Genomic DNA, 25,696 nt, shown 5'->3' with positions numbered 1-25,696 from the left:
TCACTTGAGCCTGGGAGTTGGAGGTTGCAGTGAGCCGAGATTGCGCCACTTCACTCCAGCCTGGGTGCTAGAGTGAGACATTCTCTCAAAAAACGAAGAAAAAAATTATCAATGTGGGTGCCCTTGCTTCCTGCTCAGTGAAGCTCAAAATGATAAGACTCATTGCTATTCAGAAAACACAAAGATAAAATGACAAATGTAAATAAAAGGAAGGGAGGAGTGTATGTTCTTGTAAGTGGATTTTTAATATTAGTTGTGTTTTTCCAAGAGATTGGAGTTAAAATACCAGGGTGTCTTCTGTATTCCTCAATTGAGAGATGGAACACTTTGGCTAACCTTATTCGTGTTATCATTGGTGAGACAGCCAGCAGAGGGAGCCAGAATTGTCTTTTTTTAAACTGACTTTTCATTTTGGAATAGCAGCAAACTGAAAAGCTTCAAGAATTGTTCAAAGAACCCACCCTCATTTACTTCGTAATTCTCTCTCTGTACACGTTCAGACACACACAGAGAGACAGGTGTGTACATTTTCCCCTTGAACTGTTTGAAAGTAAAATATTTCAGAATGTATTTTCTAAGAATAAGGACATTCACCTATGTAACCACAGTACAGTTGCCAAAATCAGAAAATTTGACATTGATACAGTCCTGTTGTACAGATCTTTTTTTGCAGACCTTATTCAGTTTTATTAATCATACCAACAATTTCCGTTATAGAATTTTTTCCCCTAATCCAGAGTGATGCATAACATTTAGTTTTCATGATTTTCAAGTCTCTCTGAATTGAAGCTGTTCTTTAGCCTCTCTTGGTCTTTTATGACATTGACACTTTTGAAGAGTACAGGGCACTTATTTTGTAGAATGTCTTTCAATTTGGGTTTGTCTAATACTTCCTCGTGATTAAGCTCTGGTTATTAGAATCTGGTTATTCTTCTCCTTATCAAACTTTATCTACTAGTTTTGTCATCTATTGATGATTCTTGGCTTGTTCCTACAATAGTTGCAAATAGTGAGTCTTCTAACTCTTCTTATTCCTTCTGTTTTGTTTTGGTTTTGAGATGGAGTCTTGCTCTGTTGCCCAGGCTGGAGTGAAGTGGTGCGATCTCAGTTTACTGCAACCTCTGCCTTTTGGGTTCAAGCAATTCTCCTGTCTCAGCCTCCCAAATAGCTGAGATTACAGGTGCACGCCACCACACCTGGATAATTTTTGTATTTTTAGTAGAGACAGGGTTTCATTCACCATGTTGGCCAGGCTGGTCTCGAACTCCTGACCTCAAGTGATCTGCCCACCTAGGCCTCCCAAAGTGTGGAGATTACAGGCGTGAGCCACCGCTTCCAGCCATTGTTGTTTGTTGTTGTTGTTGTTGTTGTTGTTTTGTTTTTTTGAGATGGAGTCTTGCTCTTCCGCCCAGGCTGGAGTGCAGTGGCGCAATCTTGGCTCACTGCAACCTCTGCCTCCCAGGTTCAAGTGATTCTCCTGCCTCAGCCTCCCAGGCAGCTGGGACTACAGGCGCCTGCCACCACACCTGGCTAATTTTTGAATTTTTTGTAGAAATGGGGTTTCACCATGTCGGTCAGGCTGGTCTTGAACTCCTGACCTCAAGTAGTCCACCTGCCTCGGCCTCCCAAAGTGCTGGGATTACAGGCATGAGCCACTGCGCCTGGCCTATTGGTTGGAATTATGTTGTAAAGAAGTGCTTTTGTTTCTCCCCCATTTGCTTATTATCACTGTGGATATTTGGGTTTGCATTTTATTCAGTGAGTTATAATCTGTTACTGTCCTTATGGATTCCGGTGCTCTAGTGCTCTTGTCCCAGATTTGGCTACTGAGAGCTCCTTCAGGCTGATTCCATCATCTTTTTCACGCCTCATCGTTTTTTGAGCACTTCCTTACTTTCAAGCACAAAAAGATGTTCTAGACGTTATCTTTCCTTGTCCCAATCCTGGACTCAGCCATTTCTTCAAGGAGCTCTGGCTTTTTTTTTTTCCTTCAAAGAGATGGCATCTTGCCCTCTGGCCCAGGCTGGAGTGCAATGGTACAATTATACCTCACAGCAGCCTCGAGCTCCTGGGCTCAAGTGATTCACTCACTTCAGCCTCCCAAATAGCTGGGACTACAGGTATGTGCCAACATGCCCAGCTTATTTTTAAATATTTTTTTGAGAGATGGGGTCTCGCTCTGTTGCCGGGGATGGTCTTGAACTTCTGGCTTCAAGCAATCCTCCTGCCTTGGCCTCCCCAAAATGCTGGGATTACAGGTGTGAGTGACTGCACCTAGCCTAGCAGCTCTGGCTCATAGTGGGGAGTAGTTTTTTTTTTTTTTTTTTTTTTTTTTGAGACGGAGTCTCACTCTGTCGCCCAGCAGGCTGGAGTGCAGTGGTGCGATCTTGGCTCACTGCAAGCTCTGCCTCCCGGGTTCACGCCATTCTCCTGCCTCAGCCTCCCAAGTAGCTGGGACTACAGGTGCCTGCCACCACGCCCAGCTCATCTTTTTGTATTTTTAGTCGAGACAGGGTTTCACCGTGTTAGCCAGGATGGTCTCGATCTCCTGACCTCGTGATTCGCCCACCTCAGCCTCCCAAAGTGCTGGAATTACAGGCATGAGCCACTGTGCCCGGCCAGTGGGGATTAGTATTTAGAAACAAAGGTTTGGATGTGCTCATTGCTACTGGGGTACATTGCTTCTAGGCCCTCTCACTGAGCACAGCTAGGTTATATACACTCATACATATCTATAACTATTTCTACACACATATATTAAAAATCATGCATTAATCCTAATACCCCCAATTCCATTTCAGCACCACTGGCTCTTCCCAGCCTTCTTAGTTCCTTCTTTAGCACTGAGAAACCTGGCTCCCAACATCATTGTTCATGGGTTTATTCATTTCTCAATCCTGCAAGGTGCCCTCTTAAAGTTCCTGTGTCTATCTTCGGGCAGGATGCTCTCTGCTTCCACCCAGTAATATTTCCCGAGGTCTTTTTTTCTCCCCAGGCTTCATGGTTTGAAATAGTGCCTTCTTTGGTTCTGCTTTGAACTTTCTGCCCTCCTTGTTCTTCTTACCACCTTCTGAGCCTTGTTTTTCTCAGGTGATGCTGAACACAGAGCGGCTGATCAAGCATGCGGTGCAGGAGAGGCTGGCAGTCACTGTGTGCATCAACAAGATTGACCGGCTGATCCTGGAGCTGAAGCTGCCTCCAACTGATGCTTATTACAAGCTGCGCCACATTGTGGATGAGGTCAATGGATTAATAAGGTAGAAAACCCCTGGGAGTGGATTTCCTGTCCTCGGAGGCTCTGGGTTTTAACCCTGAATACCTCTGGGAACAACTGTGATTTATTTCTAAGCGTGTGTTGATGAGTTTGTTGGGCAAAACTAGAGGCACATCCTGGGACTCTGCAGGGGTTGACTTCATACTTTAACACATCTTCATTTTACTATTATGATCAGTACTTGGGCTGTATTAATTTCTTCTCTTTTTAGAGATAGGATCTCTGTTACCCAAGCTAGAGTGCAGTGTCACAATCACAGCTCACTGCAGCCTCGAACTTCTGGGCTCAAGCAATCCTCCCACCTCAGTCTCCTGATAGCTGGGACCACAGGCATGTGCCACCATACCTGGCTATATATTTTTTAAATTAATTAATTTATTTTTTTTTGAGACGGAGTCTCGCTCTGTCGCCCAGGCTGGAGTGCAGTGGCATGATCTCGGCTCACTGCAAGCTCCGCCTCCCGGGTTCATGCCATTCTCCTGCCTCAGCCTCTCAAGTAGCCGGGACTACAGGCACCCGTCACCACGCCCGGCTAATTTTTTGTATTTTTAGTAGAGACAGGGTTTCACTGTGTTAGCCAGGTTGGTCTTGACCTTCTGAGCTCGTGATCCGCCCACCTCGGCCTCCCAAAGTGCTGGGATTACAGGCGTGAACCACCACCCCCGGCCAATTTTTTTTAATTTTAATTTTTATTTTTTATTTATTTATATTTTTTTTGTAGAGATGGAGTCTTGCTATGTTGCCCAGGCTGGTCTTAAACTGGCCTCAAGCAATTCTTCCACCTTGGCCTTCCAAAGTGCTAGCATTACAGATTTGAGCCGCTGCACCCAGCCTGGGCTCTAGAATCAGCCTCCTCTTCACCACATACCAACCATGTAAAGTTGGGCAGATTACTTAAGTTCAGTTTCTGCTTCAGTAAAAAAGGAATAATATTTGCCTAACAGCAATAGTAGCAAATATTATTAGGCATTTATAGTATAAGTTAACATAACTTACAAGGGATGTTATAAGAAATTAAATAGATATTTGATGGAACACAGCACAGTGCTTGCAATGTAGCAGCTGATGTGCTGAATAATGTTAGCTGCTATTATCTTATAATTAACACAGTCTAAATAAATTAAGAACTGTTTGCTGTGTTTCTGTGGATATACCTGCTTCTCAACAAGATGGATTTAGGGCTTGCATTGATACATATGAGTGATGGTTATGATACCTTAGAATATAATATCAAAGGGCCTTTGAAACAGAGGTTAAATATATCTTAAAGACAGTCTTACTACAGGCTGAAAGATGTGCTAGATGACTTCCTGCAGCCCCTCAAATGGGCCTGTGAGGAGGCCGTCCTACTGAAAGAATGCCTCTCCAACTGAAAGAATGCCTCTCCATTTAAGGATTGGGGATGGAACCTGTGTGGCTAGAGACAGATACCTTCAGGAGCCTTCCCAGTGTGTAGCACTACTTTTCAAAAGGAATATCTTCACCCCATCTCTGCAAGGACTGAGAATGACTAGAGCCCAGTGTGACATCATGAGTCCAAAGGATGAAATGACAAATATATTTTAATAAGAAGGCCAAGCGTGATAGCTTATGCCTGTAATCCCAGCACTTTGAGAGGTCAAGGCAGGAGGATCCCTTGGGGCTAGGAGTTCAAGGCCAGCCTGGGCAACATAGCTAGACTCTGTGTCTACAAAAAATAATTTTGAAATTAGCTTGGCGTGCTGGCATGTGTTTGTAGTCTTAGCTACTCGGGAGGCAGAGGCAAGAGGATCACTTGAGCCAAGGAGTTCAGGGTTATAGTGAGCTATGATTGTGCTGTTGTACTCCAATGTGGGTGACAGAGTGAGATCCTGTCTCTTAAAAAAAAAAAAAAAAAAAAAAGAGGCCGGGCACGGTGGCTCACGCCTGTAATCTCAGCACTTTGGGAGGCCGAGGCGGGCGGATCATGAGGTCAGGAGATCGAGACCATCCTGGCTAACACGGTGAAACCCCATCTCTACTAAAAAATACAAAAAAAATTAGCCGGGCTTGGTGGCGGGCGCCTGTAATCCCAGCTACTGAGGAGGCTGAGGCAGGAGAATGGCGTGAACCCGGGAGACGGAGCTTGCAGTGAGCTGAGATTGCACCACGGCACTCCAGCCTGGGCAACAGAGCAAGACTCCATCTCAAAAAAAAAAAAAAAAAGTAGGAAGTGGGATAGAGCTGAACTTAACCTGATTTACTAAAATAGGAAGTCAAGAGGTCATGTTTCAAACCTCTAAACAAGAGGCCAGGCACAGTGGCTTATACCTAGAATCCCAGCACTTTGGGAGGCCAAGCAGGATATTGCTTGAGCCCAAGAGTTCAAGGTTCAAGCCTGGGCAACATGGCTTTTGTATCTCATCTCTACAAAAATTAGCCAGGCTTGGTGGTTCATGCCTGCAGTCCCAGCTACTTGGGATGCTGAGGAGGGAGGATTGCGTGAGCTTGAGAGATCGAGGCTACAGTGAATGGTGATTGTACCACTGTGCTCCAGCCTGGGCAACAAGGCAAGACCCTGTCTCAAAAGCAAAAGAACCTCTAAGCAAGAAAAAGTAACATAAACATATTACTTAGAAACCTGAAGGTAAATACTCTAAAAGCAGCTTTAAAAGTGTTGAAAGCAGTTGCCTCTAGGGAGCATAACTTGGGGGTAGAGTGCAATGGGGTAGAGGGCTGTTCTTTATAAGCCATACCTTTATTTCTATATTGGGACATTCCATAAGATAATGTGCCAGTAAGGCTAGGGTTGTGGATTTGATCCCCTTGTACAACTCGTTTTCTTATAAATGTTAGTGAACTCAGATGCTCGTGGTTTCTGCATGGCTTTTAAGATTGAAAGTTTTAACACTGTAAAAGCCAAACACAAAAGAATAAAGAGTATGGCAGTGAGGGTAAAGAGCAGAGTTGCTTTTCTTCATTTCCTTTCTTTTCTCTTTTTTAAATGATGTTTATGTCTGCTTGTATTTGTGAAATTGAGGTTTTTCGTCAAATGTATTTCTGTCTTATCACATTAGATTCATTTCCTGTGTTCTAAGGTTTTTGTCTCTGTCCTGTAGGTTTCCCCTTGTCTGTCTGGTGCAGTTAACTTTTCCAAGATTGTGCAGAATGTTCCCAGCTCTGGGAAATCAACTTGTTATTGGGAATTAGGGGAACAGCTCCATCATGTCACTTTCTTGGACCAGGCTGTTGGCAAAACTGAGTGTCTTGCACAAGTCCCTTCCGAGGGCTGGAGAGTGGCTGTGATACCGAGTTCCTGCCCTTCCCCTTGGCAGTGCGTCCGGGCTGCTGCAGCCTGGCACTGTGTTCACCACTGTCTCTGTTTCAGCATGTATTCCACTGATGAGAACCTGATCCTTTCCCCACTCCTGGGTAACGTCTGCTTCTCCAGCTCCCAGTACAGCATCTGCTTCACGCTGGGCTCCTTTGCCAAGATCTATGCCGACACCTTTGGTAAGCGCTGGCTGGCAGTCTGTCTCACCAGCTTCCCCTGAGTCCTGTGTGCCTTTCCTGCTGAATGACTCAGAAATTGGCTTCGTATCAGCACCCTGCTGGGGGAACATTTTATCACCTGTTATTATCACATTTGGGGGTCTTTGTGGCCTTGAGACCCTTTCTTCAGGCTAAGTGGTTTCTAAATAATAGAAAAATAAAAGTGAATAGGAGGACATGGGAGAAGAAGGAGGTCATTTTAGGAATAAAAGTCTCTCCTAGAGTGAGACAGGTTTTGTAAAACAGGAATCATCCATGCCCACAGGCACTTTCAGACCTTCTCACAGGTGGCATCTCCCTCACTGTTAGTGCTTCTAGCCAGCCGTATGGAGGCAGACATCAATTTCATGGGTCTAATTGAGAACTCATGGTGACCTTGCAGCCAGCATCTACAGGCCTCTGCTAACATGCCCAGCCGCATGATATCATGGGTTCCTGGAGCCTCAACACCAGATCCTTGAGACCAGATTCCCACTGTGAGAGACTCCCTGGCTCTTCATCTTTGCACTTCCCCAGTTACCTCAGATTCCAATAGGAATCGTGCACTGAGAGTCTTTTCTGTGTTCAATGTTGCAGTTCCTTAGAGGGAAGTCACTGTTACCCCGTTCTTAGAGTCGAGCAGACAGGCTCCGTGAGATGTCTCATGACCAGTAGGCGGTGGAGCATCAGCGTTTCTATTCTTGCCAGTCAGTTGTCCTGCCGCACTCTTAGCATGGAGCCCTTTGCTCTTGTGAAAAAAAAATGAGGGATTAAAGTTCAGTCTTTTTTGGCCAGGCGCGGTGGCTCACGCCTGTAATCCCAGCACTCTGGGAGGCTGAGGCAGGCAGATCACGAGGTCGGGAGATCAAGACCATCCTGGCTAACACGGTGAAATCCCGTCTCTACTAAAAATGCAAAAAAATTAGCCAGGCGTGGTGGCGGGCACGTGTAGTCCCAGCTACTGGGAGTCTGAGGCAGGAAAATGGCGTGAACCCAGGAGGCAGAGCTTGCAGTGAGCTGAGATCACGCCACTGCACTCCAGCCTGGGCGACAGAGCAAGACTCCATCTCAAAAAAAAAAAAAATTGAAGTTCAGTCTTTTTTGACCAGGTGCAGTGGCTCACGCCTGTAATCCCAGGACTTTGGGAAGCTGAGGCAGGCGGATCACTTGAGCCCAGTAGTTTGAGACCAGCCTGGGCAACATGGCGAAACCCCATCTCTACAAAAAAATACAAAAAATTAGGTGGGCATGATGGCACTGGCCTGTAGTCTGAGCTCGGGAGGATCACTTGAGCCCGGGAGGTTGAGGCTACAGTGAGCCGTGATTGCACCATTGCACTCCAGCCCGGGCAACAGAGCAAGACCCTGTCTCAAAAAACAAGAAAAATTTGGTTCTTTTTCTTTTTTTTTTGAGACATAATCTCACTCTGTTGCCTAGGCTGGAGTGTAATGGCACGATCTCGGCTCACTGCAACCTCCACCTCCTGGGTTTAAGTGATTCTCCTGCCTCAGCCTCCTGAGTAGCTGGGATTACAGGTACATGCCACCATGCCCAGCTAATTTTTGTATTTTTAGTAGAGATGGGGTTTCACCATGTTGGTCAGGCTGGTCTCGAACTCCTGACCTCGTGATCCGCCCACCTCGGCCTCTCAAAGTGCTGGGATTACAGGCATGAGCCACTGTGCCTGGCCTGTGTACTATGTTCTCATAATAAAGTAAGCTGGAGAAAAGAAGATGTTACAAAGAAAATCATGAGAAAAAACACATTTACTGTTCATTAAGTGGAAGTGGATCATCATAAAGGTCTTCATCTTCGTCATCTTCACATTGAGCAGGCTAAGGAAGAGAAAGCATTGGTCTTGGTGTCTCAGGTGGCAGAGGCAGGAGAAAAATCCATGTATAATTGGAACCGAGACATTCAAACCATGTTATTCAAGGGTCAACTGTATACATATGTAATCTGTGTTTTTCACACAGCATTGGGCCATTGACCATTTTCTTGTTATTAGATGTATATATCAGTTATTTCCAGATGGCTCTTTTTTAAAAATGGGTAGCTAAACAATAAATGAAATTAAACTGAACAGGGTTCCAGTAGAAGTTTGTGTTTCTAAATGTCCATTGTATGAGCATGTGAAGCAAAATCCAAAACCCTTTTGTAATTATAATGCAGAGATGATTCCAATTTTGATTGAAAATGATCCTCAGCCTTGGGCGAGATTGTTGTTCATCCTTTGAACCCACTGTTAGTTTATGCCAGAGCTAGCTATGGGCTGGGCTGCAGCAGCGTTATCATGGAAAGCCATGTGTAGACTTCTGTAAAGTCAGCACTGAAGGGAATATTGAAGAGATCATTGAGTCGTCCTCTTCATTTTACATGAGGGGAAACTATGCCCATGGTCACAGAAATTACTAATAGAGTAGGAACTAGAATCCATTTACACCTTACTACCAAAACTGATACCATGTGCTCTCGCTAGGAATATAATACAATAAGGCATCATGAACAACTTCGGACTTCTATAAACTTCATCCAGTGGACGAACAGAATCCCACAGAGTGATGAATGGCAATGTGAGGTGATAGTGTGAGCTGAGTGCTGTAGGCAGATACAGCTGAGAGAATTTAGGGGTGGGGTAGGGCTCAGCCTCAATGGCTTGGAGTCAGGTAAAGCCGAGGGAAAGAGATGGGGCTTGGGCAAATAAAGAGTAGAAAGCCAAGAATTCCAGACTTGCAGGGCTGGAGAAAGAGGCATAGAGGCAGGTGGTGTTAGTCATGGCCTGTTCAGGTAACAGTGGAATGTTTAACCAAGGAGAAGAGTTCAAGTTCAGGCTAGGTCCAGTGGCTCATGCCTGTAATCCGAGCACTTGGGGAGGCCAAAGTAGAGGATCACTTGAGGCCAGGAGTTCAAAACCAGCCTAGGCAACATGGCAAGACCTCGTCTCTACAAAAAATTTTAAAAATTAGCTGGCCGTGATGGCGCACACCTGTAGTCCCAGCTACTCGGGAGGCAGAGGTGGGGGGATTGCATGAGCCAGGAAGGTCGAGGCTGCAGGGAGCCAAGGTTATGCCACTGCACTCCAGTGTGGATGACAAAGCAAGACCCCATCTCAAAGAAAAAAAGTTCAGTGATTATACTGCATGGTAAGTGCATTAACAGAGGGCATAAACATTCAGTGGTTCAGAGGAAGGAAAGTTTCAGTAACTAACAATGTGGGAAAGAAGGGGAGAATTTGGTAATTAACAGAGTAGGGAAGAAAAAGATTTTGAGTTTAGCTGAAAATTTGGTGGTAACCTTACTGATGGAGACAGAGAAGTCTGAAGGGGAATGTGACTTTCGGGAAAAGCCAGTGCATTCCCTTTATCCCATACAAGGTGAGGGGACAGTCTGACATCTGGGTAGAAATATCCAGGAGGTGGTTGGTGCTATCAGTTATCTAATTGGATGTCACCCAACGTCTTGACTTTTAAAAGCTATGGTTGTTTGGTACAGTCTGACCAGGATTAGCAGTTATAGTCAAACTAAAAATATTAATTGGTGAAAGATGAGCCAAAGGTTGGCTTTGGTGTTTTCTCTCGAGAGGGCTGAGTAATTGCTTACCTGAGGCCTAGGGCTAGCCAGAACCTTATGGTGACACTGCAGTTGGAAGGTGGCCCACACTGGCAGCAGAGTCGAGCTTGTCTACATCAGGAAAGGGTGAAAGAACCATTAAATTCCCCTTCCAGAAGGGACAGGGTTTAGATGCAGATAGAGGATGCCACACAGTAGGTGACCCTGTTCCATCGAAGGAAAACATGTAACCCATGCTCTTGTCCATAGTTCAATCCTAGTGCTTGGTGGAGATGGAGAGGCTTGGGTTCTCATTTTGGCTCCAGCACAGCCTTGTCAACTTTGGACCAGTCTTGTCCTTCTTTGTGCCTCAGTGTCCTCGTTTTCCTCTCTGGTTAGAAGGAACTGCCTGGACCCTGGAAAGGAAAGTGCTAGAAGTTCTCAGCTATGAACCACCTGTGGCACCTGAAACAGAATTTTGAACGACACTTTGCTAGGTAGATTATAATTGTGTGGCTTCTCCCATAGGTGACATTAATTACCAAGAATTTGCTAAAAGACTCTGGGGTGACATCTACTTCAACCCTAAGACGTAAGTAGAGTATGGGACGTGACTTTCCAGAGGGGTGATCATTTACCCAGTAAGTGAGGACAGTGAAATTCTCTGAGTTCAAAGATTAAATACCTACTTTTTTTTTTTTTTTTAATGTAAACTACCGTCTTTCCTCCCCTAAATGGGTTGGCTTCCTAAGCTCTGATCTGGTGAGAAGCTGTTTCTCCTGAAGTCTTTACAGCCCAGCTCAGGCATCCAGGAGGGTCATAACCATGTATCCTTCCAGGAATCTGTCTCTGGAAACTTTACAGTCACACACACATTCCTCCCCTGGGCTGTTGTTCAGATTCAGCACTTAGACAATGCCTCTTGGGATCAGTGATAGTGCCTTTTCCCCTGGGTCACTCAGAACTTATTTTTCCTTTTAGGCGAAAGTTCACCAAAAAGGCCCCAACTAGCAGCTCCCAGAGAAGTTTCGTGGAGTTTATCTTGGAGCCTCTTTATAAGATCCTCGCCCAGGTGAGTGTGTCAGGTCACACTGGGCAGATCTGCTCTTATAAGCACAGTGTGGAAGAGCTGGTGAACTCACACTTCCCTCTGTCCCTAAACCTGCTCAGTTTTATGTCAAGTATAAGGGTGGTTGTTGGTCACTAATTGTTCCAGAAGTAATCTTCTGGATCCAGAACACTACATTACTCTAAGTGTTATTAAAATCAAAGGAAAGGGGCCCGGGCATGGTGGCTCATGCCTGTAATCCTAGCACTTTGGGAGGCCGAGGTGGGCAGATTGCCTGAGCTCAGGAGCTTGAGACCAGCCTAGGCAACACGATGAAACCCCGTCTCCACCAAAATACAAAAAATTAGCTGGGCATGGTGGCGGGCGCCTGTAGTCCCAGCTACTCGGGAGGCTAAGGCAAGAGAATTGCTTGAACTCAGGAGGCAGAGGTTGCAGTGAGCCGAGATTGCACCACTGCACTCCAGCCTGGGCGACAGAGCGAGACTCTGTCACCAAAAAAAAAAAAAAAAAAATCAAAGGAAAGGGAAAAGGTATGAAAGAAAAGACTTCTCCTAGAGCAGGTTTATGAACAGATCTTGACTATTGAGAAGAATGTGACACTTAGAACTAATCATTTCAGTTACGGAAATTTAACTTACAGATATAATTGTGAAAGTCCTCCTGCTTATTCATATAAGTCAAAGTGTTTATTATAGCATTTTTAGAGATAGGGTCCCACTCTGTCGCCCAGGTGGGAGTGCAATAGCACGATCATAGCTCACTGCAGCTTCAAACTCCTAGGTTTGAGCAATCCTCCCACCTCAGCCTCCTGAGAAGCTGGGACTGCAGGTGCAAGCTACCATGCCTGGCTAACTTTTAAAAAATTTTGTGTAGAGACAGGGTCTTGCCATTATCCCCAAGCTGGTCTCAAACTTGTAGCCTCAAGTGATCCTCCTGCCTTGGCCTCCCAAAGTGCTGGGCTTACAGGCAGGAGTCCACCACCTCAGCTTATAGCATTGTTTGTAACATCAGGAAAAGGGAAAAAACTGGAAATAAGTTAAATGTTTGTCAGTTATGCTCATTAATCTGATTAAATGAGTGATGGTACATCCCATAAAATGAACCGCTTTGCAACCACTTAAAGTATGTCTGAGCTGGGCACAGTGGCTCAGGCCTGTAATCCAGACGCTTTGGGAGGCCAAGGCGGGAGGATCACTTGAGTCCAGGAGTTCAAGACCAGCCTGGGCAACATGGCAAGACCCCATTTCTACTAAAAATACAAAAATTAGCCAGGCGTGGTGGCTCATGCTTGTAATCCCAGCTACTCTTGAGGCAGAGGCTGCAGTGAGCTGAGATTGTGCCACTGCACTCCAGCCTGGGTGACAGAGCAAGACTCCGTCTCAAAAAAAATAAAATAAATCAACTGGGACTGGTGGTGTGCACTTGTGGTCCCAGCTACTCAGGAGGCTGAGGCCAGAGGATTGCTTGAACCCTGGTGGTCAAAGCTGCAGTGATCCATGATCACACACCACTGCATTCCAGCCTGAGTGATGGAGTGAGACCCTGTCTCAGAAAAAAACAAAACAAAGCATGTTCGTATGAACTTTGCTTTCTTAACTGTTTGCACAATATGTGATGCTTGTCAGATTGAAATCATTTGTCAGGAGATGGTAAGGATTTAATTAAGCATGTGGAATGCTGAGAAGCAAAGAATATAACGTGGCCGGATGTGGTTGCTCACGCCTGTAATTCCAGCACTTTGGGAGGTCCCAGTGGGCAGATCGCTTGAGATCAGGAGTTCAAGACCAGCTTGGACAACATGGCTAAACCCTTTATCTCCGCACAAAATAGAATTAGCTGTTGTAGTGGTGTGTGCCTGTGGTCCCAACTACTTGGGGGGCTGAGGCAGGAGGATCACTTGAGCCCAGGAGGTGGAGGTTGCAGTGAGCCGTGATCACACCACTGCACTCCAGGCTGGGTGACAGAGTGAGACCCTGTCTCTAAAAAAGGGAATATAGCATGACGTTTATATGAATTTGTACTCCCTAAAAGATGGGACTAAAAGGGTAAAAATTATAGGAATTTTCATACAGACCTTTCTCCCAAGGCAGTAATAAAATATGCAGGTATTTAATAAGCACAGTGGACACACACATACACAAAATGTGTGTGGCCATTCCGGTGGACAAAACAGCAAAACCTAGCAACAAGATAAAATAGCAATTAAAATTTATTAGTGCTGAAAAATACTTAGTATCTTATGTCAGACTGGAATGGATTAATAAAAAAAATTTATAGAGCCTGCCTCAGTAGAGACCTTGAGTCTACTGAGGGTGATTTAGCTTGGCCCTGCCCTGACAGGATCCACAGCAAGGTGACCTTTTTTGGTTCCTTCCAGTGCACAATGATCCTCTAAATCTGAGAAGTCTGTAAATAGACTTCTGTTTAATAGGTGAGGGAGTTTCTGAGTGGGAGGAGATGCTGCTTTTCAGACACCAGGGGGCAGCACTGGGAGTAATCAATCTGAGTGCTTGGTTTATTGGCTGGGATGGGGATGTAACCAAGTTGGCTTTGCCTGTGGTTTGAAGGGTAGGTAGCAGAGATGCCGCTGAAACCAAACTTTTGTCCTTGCCAAGAGCTTTGTCTCCATAGAAGAGAGCCTTGTGAAGGAGTTCTTCAGATATTTCTTTGGACTTCCCTTGTCTCCCTCTAGCACCATGCTCAGGCTCTCACTACAGCTGACATGGTGTCTTACACCCTCACAGGTTGTAGGTGACGTGGACACCAGCCTCCCACGGACCCTAGACGAGCTTGGCATCCACCTGACGAAGGAGGAGCTGAAGCTGAACATCCGCCCCTTGCTCAGGCTGGTCTGCAAAAAGTTCTTTGGCGAGTTCACAGGTAATAATGTGCTCGTGGCCCCTTAACTCTGTCATCCTCGTGCCCTGCCACAGGTATCACAGCAATTTTTTCTCACCCAGCGATGGAGGTCAGAAATCTGAGGATCTTTTCAACAAACCACAGATTCAGATGCAGAACACTGGTGTTTTTCCTAGCTGCTTTCCTTAGTGGATGATGGCACACATTCTATCTTGGGAACCAAAAGGAATTACATTTTCCTGCCAGGAGGAGTGTTCAAGTAAATGAGATGGGGAGGCAGGCTCTGTGGTTCTGGTATATTTTCCAGGGGGCAGCCGGGAAGGTGGATGCTTGGGTAGTGTGAAATAGTGCAAAAAGCACTAGGCTAGGACTTGGGAGACTTGGTTAGTTACACAGAAGGCACGTGATACAGCAGAAAGACACTGGACTGGTTGAAAAAACCACCTGAGTCTGTCTCGATCCTGCCCTGGCCATTCCATGAGATGACCCTGGGCCAGCCACCTAATTCTTCATGACTCTGATTTGTTATCTGTAAAATCAGGGAAGTGGAAAGGGTGATGGCTGAGGGTCTTCTCAGCAGTCTCTGATTCTAAGTCCGGTGGGAATTAGGTGTCTGGGCCCCCAAGGTGCGTAGTTTTAATAGCTTATTTTGGTCTGCCCATCAATCTGACACACCAGATACCATTGAAGGCACACAGGCCTATCCCAGTGTGCTCATGGGGGTTCCCTCTTATGTGGTTTATTAATGTGTTCAGAAAACGGGGTAACTTATTGAATAGAGATGCATGCAGTGTTTCTCAAGGGGAGTCAGGTTGGGAATTGTTTTAAGTAGATGTTAGATGGGGTGCTTATTTTGTTCCACGTAAATGCGTATAGCCAATAAAAGTTCATAGATCGATGTACTTTAAACTTTTTGTCAGCTGAGTTCCAAGGAACCATGTACCACTGATACCTGCTGCTTGCTCTTTTCTGGCATCAGGGTGACTCCAAATCTTCTAGCAGCACATTCCCAGGAAGCAGGCTATCACTATCTATAGTGCCAGAGCTTTTAGAGCTAACAATCAGTCCCCGCACTTTGAGCTTTTTGACCATTGTGAATGGCTCAGTAACTCCTGCTCGTGCTCCCTGGGAAGGCATGTATTAATGGCTTTCTCTTCTCCATCCACAGGCTTTGTGGACATGTGTGTGCAGCATATCCCTTCTCCAAAGGTGGGCGCCAAGCCCAAGATTGAGCACACCTACACCGGTGGTGTGGACTCCGACCTCGGCGAGGCTATGAGTGACTGTGACCCTGATGTAAGGGCATGTGGCTCCCCGGTTCTCTGGTCTTTTTTTCCCCTTCCTGTGTGGGGATACTGATTTCTGGTCACAGGAGTAATGCCCACTTTCCCACCCTTGCCTCCCCATCCCCATGAGCACAGTCAGGCCTGAATGCAAAGCCTGATGTTGCCACCGCTAGTGCTATGACCTTGGGAACATTACTCACATTTCCTGAGCCTCAAGGCCTTGGTCTATAACACGAGCATAATAAAATGTGAGCGGTTGTTATGAGATTTAAATAAGATTAAGGAAGTGTTACGGTTGTGTTCAGCATGTTGCCTGGCAGATACTAAAGATTCAACAAATGGTAGCTAATCTTGTCAGTCCTGGCTTTTAAAAACATCTTTCCCAGCCATTTCTTAGGCTGTCTAGTTTCTTATCATAAATACACAGCCAGTTGAGAATTGAGTTACATCTTAAGAGGAAATTTGGGACAGTAAGTAATCTTGCCAATAGTGCCTCTCTGCTATCTTAAATCTGTGTCTCTTCCTCAATGCCCTTATCCTCCCAAAAAAAAAAAAAGAGGAGAATATTTTTGCTCTGCCATGTCTCCTATTCATCCTTCTCAGAGGGATGGGGTAGAACATGGTTTGGAGATGAGACTACCTCATCTTTCTCTAGCTCCTCATAGAGCTCATGTCCTTGCTGTCAAGGAAGATGGCGGGGAGTAGTACTTCCCCGGAGCATAGATGTGGTTGAAGCTGCACCCTGTCCCCTCTTCCAGGGCCCCCTGATGTGCCACACTACTAAGATGTACAGCACAGATGATGGAGTCCAGTTTCACGCCTTTGGCCGGGTGCTGAGTGGCACCATTCATGCTGGGCAGCCTGTGAAGGTACTGGGGGAGAACTACACCCTGGAGGATGAGGAAGACTCCCAGATATGCACCGTGGGCCGCCTTTGGATCTCTGTGGCCAGGTACTGCCAACCAGAGCCCCAGGAGTATGCCTTGGTGTCTATCCAGGGGCTGCCCCCAAGGAGCTGGAAGGAGTGATCCTCCTTGGAAGTAGTTGCAAGGCTCTGTGCAAGAGGGGATAAAGTGGCTCTCCCTCCGCAGGGCTATTGACTTCAAGTTCTTCCTGTCCCAGGTTTGCTGGGGCCAAAGGCAGCTACTGTTGGAACAGTGCCAGAAGCTTCGCCTTTGCACTTTGGGTGGCTCGTGTGAACTTTTTTTTTTAGCCCTATTTGTTTGTTTTGAGACAGGGTCTCACTCTGTCTCCTAGGCCAGAGTGCAGTGGCACAATCTCAGCTCACTGCGACCTCCGCCTCCTGGGCTCAAGCAGTCCTTCCACCTCAGCCTCCTGAGTAGCTGGAACTACAAGCACACACCACTATGTCTGGCTAATTTTTAAATTTTTTGTAGAGACAATGTCTCACTATATTGCCCAGGCTGGTCTCCAACTCCTGGGCTCAAGTGATCCTCCCACCTCAGCCTCTCAAAAGTGTTGGATTACAGGTGTGAGCCACCACACACCATCTTAAAGCCCTTTTGAAAGCATGAAGCTTGTATGAACTTTTGTAGGAGGATTTCCATTGTTACTCATCTTAATCCTCTTTTCATTTCCTCTCCTGTGTTCCTTAAGTCATAATCTTTGTGTTTCTTCCCAAAAGAAATTGTTCCCCAACTCCACTGTCTACTCTTTGACCAAGAGAGAAGGCTTCGCTGGATCCCTTGTAGCATCCCAATCTGCAGTCAAACTTAGCTTGGGCCTCTGGGCTACTTGTCAGTTTATGAATTTGGTTTCCCAGTTGACAAGTTAAACCAAAGCATTCGTGTTCCCTAAGGTGGCTACCCTGCCTCAATGGTGGTCCCTTTTGTTAAATCCACCCTAAATGCCAAAAGGTGGAATATTGAAGAGCTGGGAAAGTGGAAGTTTTCTGTGATGCTTTTTTTTTTGAGATGGAGTCTCACTCTGTCGCCCAACCTGGAGTGCAGTGCCTGTGATCTCGGCTTACTGCAAGCTCCACCTCCTGGGTTCATGCCATTCTGCTGCCTCAGCCTCCCAAGTAGCTGGGACTACAGGCGCCCGCCACCATGCCCAGCTAATTTTTTTGTATTTTTAGTAGAGACAGGTTTCACCGTATTAGCCAGAATGGTCTCGATCTCCTGACCTCATGATCCACCTGCCTCAGCCTCCCAAAGTGCTGGGATTATAGGTGTGAGCCACCGCTCCCAGCCTTTTTTTTTTTTTTTTTTTCTCTCTGTCAGCCAGGCTGGAGTGCAATGGCGTGATTGCGGCTCACTGCAACCTCTGCCTCCCGGGTTCAAGCGATTCTCCTGCCTCAGCCTCCCAAGTAGCCAGGGTTATAGGTGTGCACCACCATGTCTGGCTAATTTTTTGTATTTTTAGTAGAGATAGTTTTCACCATGTTGGCCAGGCTGGTCTCAAACTCCTGACCTCAGGTGATCCAGCCACCCACCTCAGCCTCCCAAAGCACTGGGATTATAAGCGTGAGCCGCCACACCCGGCCTTCTTTGATGCTTTTGCTAGCCCCTTACAGTCGACACCTTGGGCAGCTTTTTACCATGAGCCTGCAATTGGAATAAGATTTTCCTCTTATGTCCTCACAGAAATACCTTGTACTTTTCTTTCATAATGCCCATCAGTTTGTAACCACATACATGTGTGGATAATGATTGTTTACTGTATCTCTCCCCTGCTAGAATGTATCTGTTTTGCTCACCCCTGCTCTTGGCACGCAGCAAGTACTCAGTAAATTTTTGTGGAATAGGCTGGATGTGGTGGCTCACACCTGTAATCCTAGCACTTTGGAAGGCTGAGGCAGGAGGATTGCTTGAGCTCAGGAGTTCAAGACCAGCCTAGACAACATGAAAAAACCCCGTCTCTACAAAAATACAAAAATTAGTTGGGCATGTTAGTGTGTGCCTGTAGTCCCAGCTACTTGGGGGGCTGACGCAGAAGGATCACTGGAACCTTGGAAGTTCGAGGCTGCAGTGAGCCAAGATTGTGCCACTGCACTCCAGCCTGGTAACAAAGTGAGATCCTGTCTCAAAAAAAAAAAAAAAAAAAAAATTAGGGAATGCTCTGCCTAAGTTTCACTGCTGCTTATTGGACATTGCTTCAGGTACCACATCGAGGTGAACCGTGTTCCTGCTGGCAACTGGGTTCTGATTGAAGGTGTTGATCAACCAATTGTGAAGACAGCAACCATAACCGAACCCCGAGGCAATGAGGAGGTAGAGTTTCTGAAGAGACCAACTGGGTTGGCTTAAGCTAGATGGTCCCAGGGACACACATGAGCACAAACGGGACTAATCCACAGTCATTGCCATGTCCTGGTTTCAGGCTTAGCCTTCTAGATATGACCCTGCTGGATTCTCCCTGTACTCAGTTCAGATGCGAGGAATTAGGACGGGTGCCTTTTATTATTTTCCTCCTCTCTTTGTTCTGCCAGAATACCTGGGAAGAAATGGCCCTTCAGGTTACCCCCACTCAGCACCAGGCTCCTGGTTGGGGAATACATAGTCTGATCCTAAGCAAGTCCTCTTCTCTTCTCATACCTCTGCACTTTCTGTGCCTGCTCATGCCAGTTGCCCTCAGTCCTTTGTGCTTTGGATCTCAGGCTCAGATTTTCCGACCCTTGAAGTTCAATACCACATCTGTTATCAAGATTGCTGTGGAGCCAGTCAACCCCTCAGAGCTGCCCAAGATGCTTGATGGCCTGCGCAAGGTCAACAAGAGCTATCCATCCCTCACCACCAAGGTATGCCCATGGCCTGCAGCAGCCGCCAAGCCCCACTATCCCCAGCTGAATGGGCAGAGCTGCACACCGCTTCCCATCCATCAGGTGTTCATGATCTGCTGCTTACAGGAAGCTGTGTCAGGAGCAAGCCCAGCCTATGGCTGTCATGTCAAGGCAGGACAAGACACGTGTGTGTGTGTATGTGTGTGTGTTAAAACAAGACCTGTGTAGGAGGGGGCAGTGATGGGGGGTATAGGACAAGGTTGTGTGTGTGTGTGTGTGTGCGTATTTGTGTTCCGCAGATGTCTTTATCTAGACAAAAATACATTTCTTAATGAGTATACTTTGAATTGATTTTCTCGAGAAGAGAAGGAAAAGTGAGTTGTTACTCTGATCCTTGTACACTATGAGCCTGCCAGTGTACCTTTCCAGGTAGCAGGCCAGGAGGGCTAAAGGGCTAGCTTATGTCCATGGGTATAGGGTAGAGTTTGACCTAAATCATTAAGATGGGAATTAAATCATTGACTTCACACCTAGTATCACCATGCTGAGTGGTCCTGGTGTCTTGAGGACCCACTCATAGGCAGATGCTCCTCACTGAACCTTCTTGAAGAGGCTGGAACAGATGCTAAGTAGTAGCTGTTTCTGATAGGCAACTTCTTGTCTGCTCTGGCCTTGATTTTGTTTGTGTGTGCCTTTGCTGGCATAAGAGAATCCAGGCTGTGACTGCCTGTTGTGTTTCAGGTGGAGGAGTCTGGCGAGCATGTGATCCTGGGCACTGGGGAGCTCTACCTGGACTGTGTGATGCATGATTTGCGGAAGATGTACTCAGAGATAGACATCAAGGTACAGCAGTATCTGCCGGGAGCTGGGTTCACGGTCCAGACTTTTCACAAGTGACCAAATCCTTGAATTCCTGGGAAGCTCCAAGGGAAGAGAGAGTACATGTGTTTGTGAAAACCATGATCTGTTGCTCCTTATATGGGAAGGTTTTTGAGAACTGGTTTGCCCCCTTCTGCTGTGTCATACGTTTAAAATCAAGGCTCAGCCGTGCTTGGTGGCTCACTCCCAGCACTTTGGGAGGCCGAGGTGGGAGGATTGCTTGTAGCCAGGAATTCAAGACCAACCTGAGCAACAAAGTGAGACACTGCCTCTACAAAAATTAAAATAAAAAAAATAGCCAGGCCGGGCATGGTGGTCCGTTGCTGTAATTGCAGCACTTTGGGAGACTGAGGTGAGAGGATTGCTTGAGCCCAGTTTGAGACCAATCTGGGCAACATAGTGAAACCTCGTCTCTACAAACCAGCCCAGTGCAGTGGCATGTACCTGTAGTCCAGCTACTGGGGGGCTTAGGTGGGAGGATCACCTGAACCTAGACTGTCAAGGCTGCAATGAACTGTGATTGTGCCATTGCTCTCCAACCTGAGCCTAGGAGGTCATGGCTGCAATGAGCAATCATTGTGCCATTGCTCTCCTTTTTGAGATGGAGTCATACCCTGTCTCAAAAAACTAAAAAATAAAAATTAGTCAGGTGTGGTGGCTTGCACCTATAGTCCCAGCTACTCCGCAGGCTGAAGCAGGAGGATTGCTTGAGCCCAGCAGTTCGAGGCTGCAGTGAGCTACGATCATGCCACTGCACCCTAGCATGGGTGACAGAGCAAGACCCTGTCTCAAAAAATAAATGCATTGAAAAATAATAAAACAGGCCGAGCACGGTGGCTCACGCCTGTAACCCCAACACTTTGAAAGTCCAAGGCGGTTGGATTGCTTGAGGTCAGGAGTTCAAGACCAGCCTGACCAACATGGTGAAACTCTGTCTCTACTAAAAATACAAAAATTAGCCAGACATGGTGGCGGGCACCTGTAATCCCAGCTACTCAGGAGGCTGAGACAGGATAATTGTTTGAAACCGGGTGGCAGAGGTTGCAGTGAGCCAAGATCGCACCATTGCACTCCAGCCTGGGTGATAGGGCGAGACTCTGTCTCAAAAAAAAAAAAAAAAAAAGGAAAAAGAAAATAAAGGCTCCCAAGCCAAAGTTATTCTTGGTCCTTTGTTAGGGAAATAATTGCACAATTAAACAATTAACCCATGGGTGGTGATTAGGTCTCAGAGTGGGTGGTTTCAAGGAGAGGGTGGGGACTGTCTCTCCCAGATTCTTTGTCAAGCCTTGATGTAGCCCCTCAAACCATGTGTTGCTTGGCCTCCTTGTCCTAGTTGAGTCGTATTTTCTCCAAGGCCCTGTGGAGGACCCTCAATACCCCTCTTAGACTCCTCTACTGATGTATCTAGGAAGGAGGAAGGATTGGTGTCATAGAAAACACTGGGTTTCCTGGGCAGCAGACCATGTTGGGGCTTCAGGGCAGAGCTTCACTCAGATGCTGTGGGTTGAGAATGACATGGGTGCACGCCAGTGGGTCTCAGCACCAGCTCTGTCAGACCCATGGGGGTTGTTCAGTGAATGGTGGTAGATGGCTGAATGGATGCTGAGAGCTACCTTTGAAGACTAGAATTAAGGCCCTAGTTTGATACCCCACTTACTCTTGGCTCAGGAATCTAATTTCTTTACTACAGTAAGTTTTCTTGGGCTTTTTGGTGATGATTTGGACAGCTCTTTTAACCTGCTGTTGTACTTATCACTTGTGCTGATTAAGGCAGTTGGGGTTTTCACAGAGGTAGTGTCAAGGGAGCTTCTGAATTCCCTTAGGTAAATGGTTGCCCTTCCAACAAAATTAGACCTCGCTTCAGTAATTTATTTTCTGTTTCCCAGGTGGCTGACCCAGTTGTCACGTTTTGTGAGACGGTGGTGGAAACATCCTCCCTCAAGTGCTTTGCTGAAACGCCTAATAAGAAGTAAGCTGGGAGCACAGTGTCCCTGGGACTGCAGCCTCCTGGACACTCTCTCTCCTTTATCTTCCACCTCTACCCCCACCATGAGCACTATGCACATAGAGACCTCTACAGCTCAGAATAGGGGGTGCTTACAATACTTGAGTTTCACTCCAGCCCTCTCAGCCCTTCTGCCTTTGAACACAATGACATGGGATTATTCGCCTTGGGTATTCCCAAGAGGAGTTTCATAACTGCCACTTTGTCTCTATAAAATGACTATCTTAAAAGTTTACTCCAAATCTTACTCACTTTTTGTTTTTTTGTTTTTTTTTTTTTTGACACAGGCTGGAGTGCAGCCTCAACTTTCTGGGCTTAAGCAATCCTCCCAAGCAGCTAGGACTATGGGCACACACCAGGCCATCTGTTAATTTTTTTATTTTTTGTTGTCCAGACTGGTCTTGGACTTTTGGGCTCAAGTGTTCCTCCCATCTTGGCCTCCCAAATTGTTGGGATTACAGGTGTGAGCCACCATGCCCAGCTTAAACCTTACTTTTTTTTTCTTTTTTTTAAGACAGTCTCGCTCTGTCGCCCAGGCTGGAGTACAGTGGCACGATCTCGCCTCACTGTAGCCCCTGCCTCCCAGGTTCAAGCAATTCTTGTGCCTCAGCTTCCCCAGTAGCAGGGATTACATGCACGCACCACCACACCTGGCTAATTTTTTGTATTTTTAGTAGAGGTGGGGTTTCGCCATGTTGCCCAGGCTGGTCTCGAACCCCTGACCTCAGGCAGTCCGCCCGCCTCGGCCTCCCAAAATGCTGGGATTACAGGCATGAGCCACCACGCCCAGCTTAAACCTTACTTTCATAAAGACCAGTAGATTGAAATGAAAGAAAGATGAGCCCTTTGCCCTTTTTGCTCCACCTTGCCCCTGATACTGTGGCTTTTTTTTTTTTTTTTTTTTTTTTGAGACAGGGTCTCACTTCGTCACCCAGGCTGGAGTACAGTGGTGCCACCATGGGTCACTGCAGCCTCAACCTTCCGAGCTCAAGCGATCCTCCTACCTTAGTTAGCCTCCCAAGTAGCTGGGACTACAGGTGTGCTAACCACACCTGGGTTTGTTTTTCTTTTTTTTTTTTTCTTTTGAGACATAGAGTCTCACTCTGTAGCCCAGGCTGGAGTGCAGTGGCTCGATCTCAGCTCACTGGAACCTCTGCCTCCCGGGTCCAAGCAATTCCCCTGCCTCAGCCTCCCGAGTAGCTAGGACTACAGGGAGTGAGTGTCACCACACCCAGCTAATTTTTGTATTTTTAGTAGAGATGGGGTTTCACTGTGTTGGCCAGGCTGGTCTCGAACTCCTGATCTCATGATCTGCCTGCCTCAGCCTCCCAAAGTGTTGGGATTACAGGCATGAGCCATCGCACCCGGCTGGCTAATTTTTTATAGAGATGGGGTCTCTTGCTTTGTTGCCCAGGTTCTGTTTGTTTGTTTGTTTGTTTGTCTGGGGTTTTTTTTTGTTCTGTTTTGTTTTTGAGACAGAGTCTTGCACGGTCGCCAGGCTGGAGTGCAGTGGCACAATCTCGGCTCACTGCAACCTCCGCCTTCTGGGTTCAAGTGATTCCCCTGCCTCAACCTGAGTAGTTGTGATTACAGGCATGTGCCAGCGCACGCCACCACGCCCAGCTAATTTTTTGTATTTTAGTAGAGATGGGGTTTCACCATGTTGGCCAGGGTAGGCTCGATCTTCTGACCTTGTGATCCGCCCACCTCGGCCTCCCAAAATGCCGGGATTACAGGGGTGAGCCACCGCGCCTGGCTGTTTGTTTTTAAGAGGCAGTATGTTGCTGTATCACCCAGACTGGAGTGCAGTGGTGTGAGCCATAGCTCACTGCAGCCTCAAATTCCTGGGTTTCAGTGATCCTCCTGCCTTGGCCTCTCAAAGTGCTGGGATTACAGGTCTGAACCACCACGCTTGGCCCCTGTGGCTTTCACTGATGTCACTTCCTCAGCTGTCCGTCTTGTTACCCTTTTCTTAGTAATGCCTCTTCTGCTGTTCTGTTAGCCGTCCTTACCACCCATTTCCATTCTGACCAGGAACAAGATCACCATGATTGCTGAGCCTCTTGAGAAGGGCCTGGCAGAGGACATAGAGAATGAGGTGGTCCAGATTACGTGGAACAGGTGAGAACAGGGCTCTGACGCCAGGGTCGAAAGGAGGCAGGGATGCCACAGTTTAACTGCCGGGTCTCTAAGAGCACACATCTTTCTGGGGAGCATTTATGTCTTTGCCTTTGCTCTTGTTCTGGGCACAGTGGGTAGGATGAAGTGACTGTCTTCCAGGAAGGGAGGGTCTGTGGCTCCAGGACCAGCAATCACAGAGCTGGCTGACAGCTCCATTGTCTCCTCCCTTCCCCAGGAAGAAGCTGGGAGAGTTCTTCCAGACCAAGTACGATTGGGATCTGCTGGCTGCCCGTTCCATCTGGGCTTTTGGCCCTGATGCGACTGGCCCCAACATTCTGGTGGATGATACTCTGCCCTCTGAGGTACAGCAGAACTGATGGGAACTGGGTGGCGGTCTCTTACCTCTGGAGTGGAAGAAACTACAAAGTGTTCTTTTCCCAAAAGTATCTTGTGTCCTCTGGTGAAGGACAGTATCCCCTTACAGGCACATCTGTCTTCTCCCTCTAAATGCTTCAGCCGTTGCCAGGGCGACTGCTAAGGAGGCCTCATGTTTCTCTATAGGTGGACAAGGCTCTTCTTGGTTCAGTGAAGGACAGCATCGTTCAAGGTTTCCAGTGGGGAACCAGGGAGGGCCCCCTCTGTGATGAATGTAAGTCCACCAGCACTCCCCCACCCCAGTCCTCGAGGGTCCTTGCAGCCAGGCATATGAGTGGGATGGGCTCACCATCTTTAGGATTCGGCAGGAGAAGCAGCTTGGGGTACACAGGACCATCCCAAGTCCTGGGCCAGCTTCTTCCCTTTTCCTTCCTTATCCTGGTGGTGTAGCCTGGAAATGGAAATTTAAGTCATTTCTAAACTGTCATTTGCTCCTCATTTCTGAGAAGGGTTTGGCGTTGGACGTATTTGAGAAGAGATATCAAGAGGATGATGAGATTGGAATGGTTTATAGACCCTGATTGGGCTTCATGGACCAAATGTACAATTCTGGAATTTATTCTACATCCACAAAAATGTAAATATGTGCAGAAGAAGGAAATAAACTTCTAGGAAAGCTCTAAGTCTGAGCATGGCCTGAAGCAAACACTAAGAACATATGCTTAACTTCTGACCTCTGCCATGGGCCTTGCTTATTCAGTTAGAACGCCCACCTCCCATTTGATTTCTGTACCATGTCTTTCATGACTGCAAGACAGCTGCAGTGTTGCAGGAGACTGCTACTCTGCCATGGCCCCATGACAGGCCCAGAACCTCTCCCCAGTCACTCCCTCCACCTCCTTTACAGTGATTCGGAATGTCAAGTTTAAGATCCTGGATGCGGTGGTTGCCCAGGAGCCCCTGCACCGGGGCGGGGGCCAGATCATCCCCACAGCCAGGAGAGTCGTCTACTCTGCCTTCCTCATGGTAAGAGAATGGGGCGGTAGGG

At 47.0% G+C, this 25,696-nt stretch overlaps 1 protein-coding gene across 5 annotated transcripts in view, besides 1 other annotated feature; it reads left to right on the top strand.

Annotated features, from left to right (window-relative positions):
* EFTUD2 (elongation factor Tu GTP binding domain containing 2) overlaps positions 1-25,696 on the top strand; it is a 49,498-nt gene that overhangs the window by 20,255 nt on the left and 3,547 nt on the right. For all 5 annotated transcript variants that reach the window (NM_001142605.2, NM_001258354.2, NM_004247.4 and 2 more), the window contains 15 exons: positions 3,091-3,257; positions 6,621-6,745; positions 10,841-10,904; positions 11,294-11,384; positions 14,126-14,261; positions 15,409-15,536; positions 16,285-16,478; positions 18,648-18,759; positions 19,146-19,286; positions 20,010-20,111; positions 22,034-22,116; positions 24,187-24,273; positions 24,509-24,635; positions 24,835-24,922; positions 25,556-25,674. In NM_001142605.2, coding sequence (NP_001136077.1) covers positions 3,091-3,257; positions 6,621-6,745; positions 10,841-10,904; positions 11,294-11,384; positions 14,126-14,261; positions 15,409-15,536; positions 16,285-16,478; positions 18,648-18,759; positions 19,146-19,286; positions 20,010-20,111; positions 22,034-22,116; positions 24,187-24,273; positions 24,509-24,635; positions 24,835-24,922; positions 25,556-25,674 — 1,764 coding nt within the window. The remainder of the gene's footprint in view (positions 1-3,090; positions 3,258-6,620; positions 6,746-10,840; positions 10,905-11,293; positions 11,385-14,125; positions 14,262-15,408; positions 15,537-16,284; positions 16,479-18,647; positions 18,760-19,145; positions 19,287-20,009; positions 20,112-22,033; positions 22,117-24,186; positions 24,274-24,508; positions 24,636-24,834; positions 24,923-25,555; positions 25,675-25,696) is intronic.
* Positions 12,447-12,628: a silencer, noted in NCBI's record as "fragment chr17:42943931-42944112 (GRCh37/hg19 assembly coordinates)". NCBI's record gives its function as "represses an EF-1alpha promoter that drives an FKBP-Casp9 reporter gene in an ReSE screen in HepG2 liver carcinoma cells {active_cell/tissue: HepG2}" and the evidence as "EXISTENCE:reporter gene assay evidence [ECO:0000049][PMID:32094911]".

This window comes from Homo sapiens, chromosome 17 (assembly GCF_000001405.40).
Source record: "Homo sapiens chromosome 17, GRCh38.p14 Primary Assembly".
NCBI lineage: Eukaryota > Metazoa > Chordata > Mammalia > Primates > Hominidae > Homo > Homo sapiens.
Note: the sequence above shows the minus strand (reverse complement) of the source record. Positions and strands in the feature narration are given on the sequence as shown.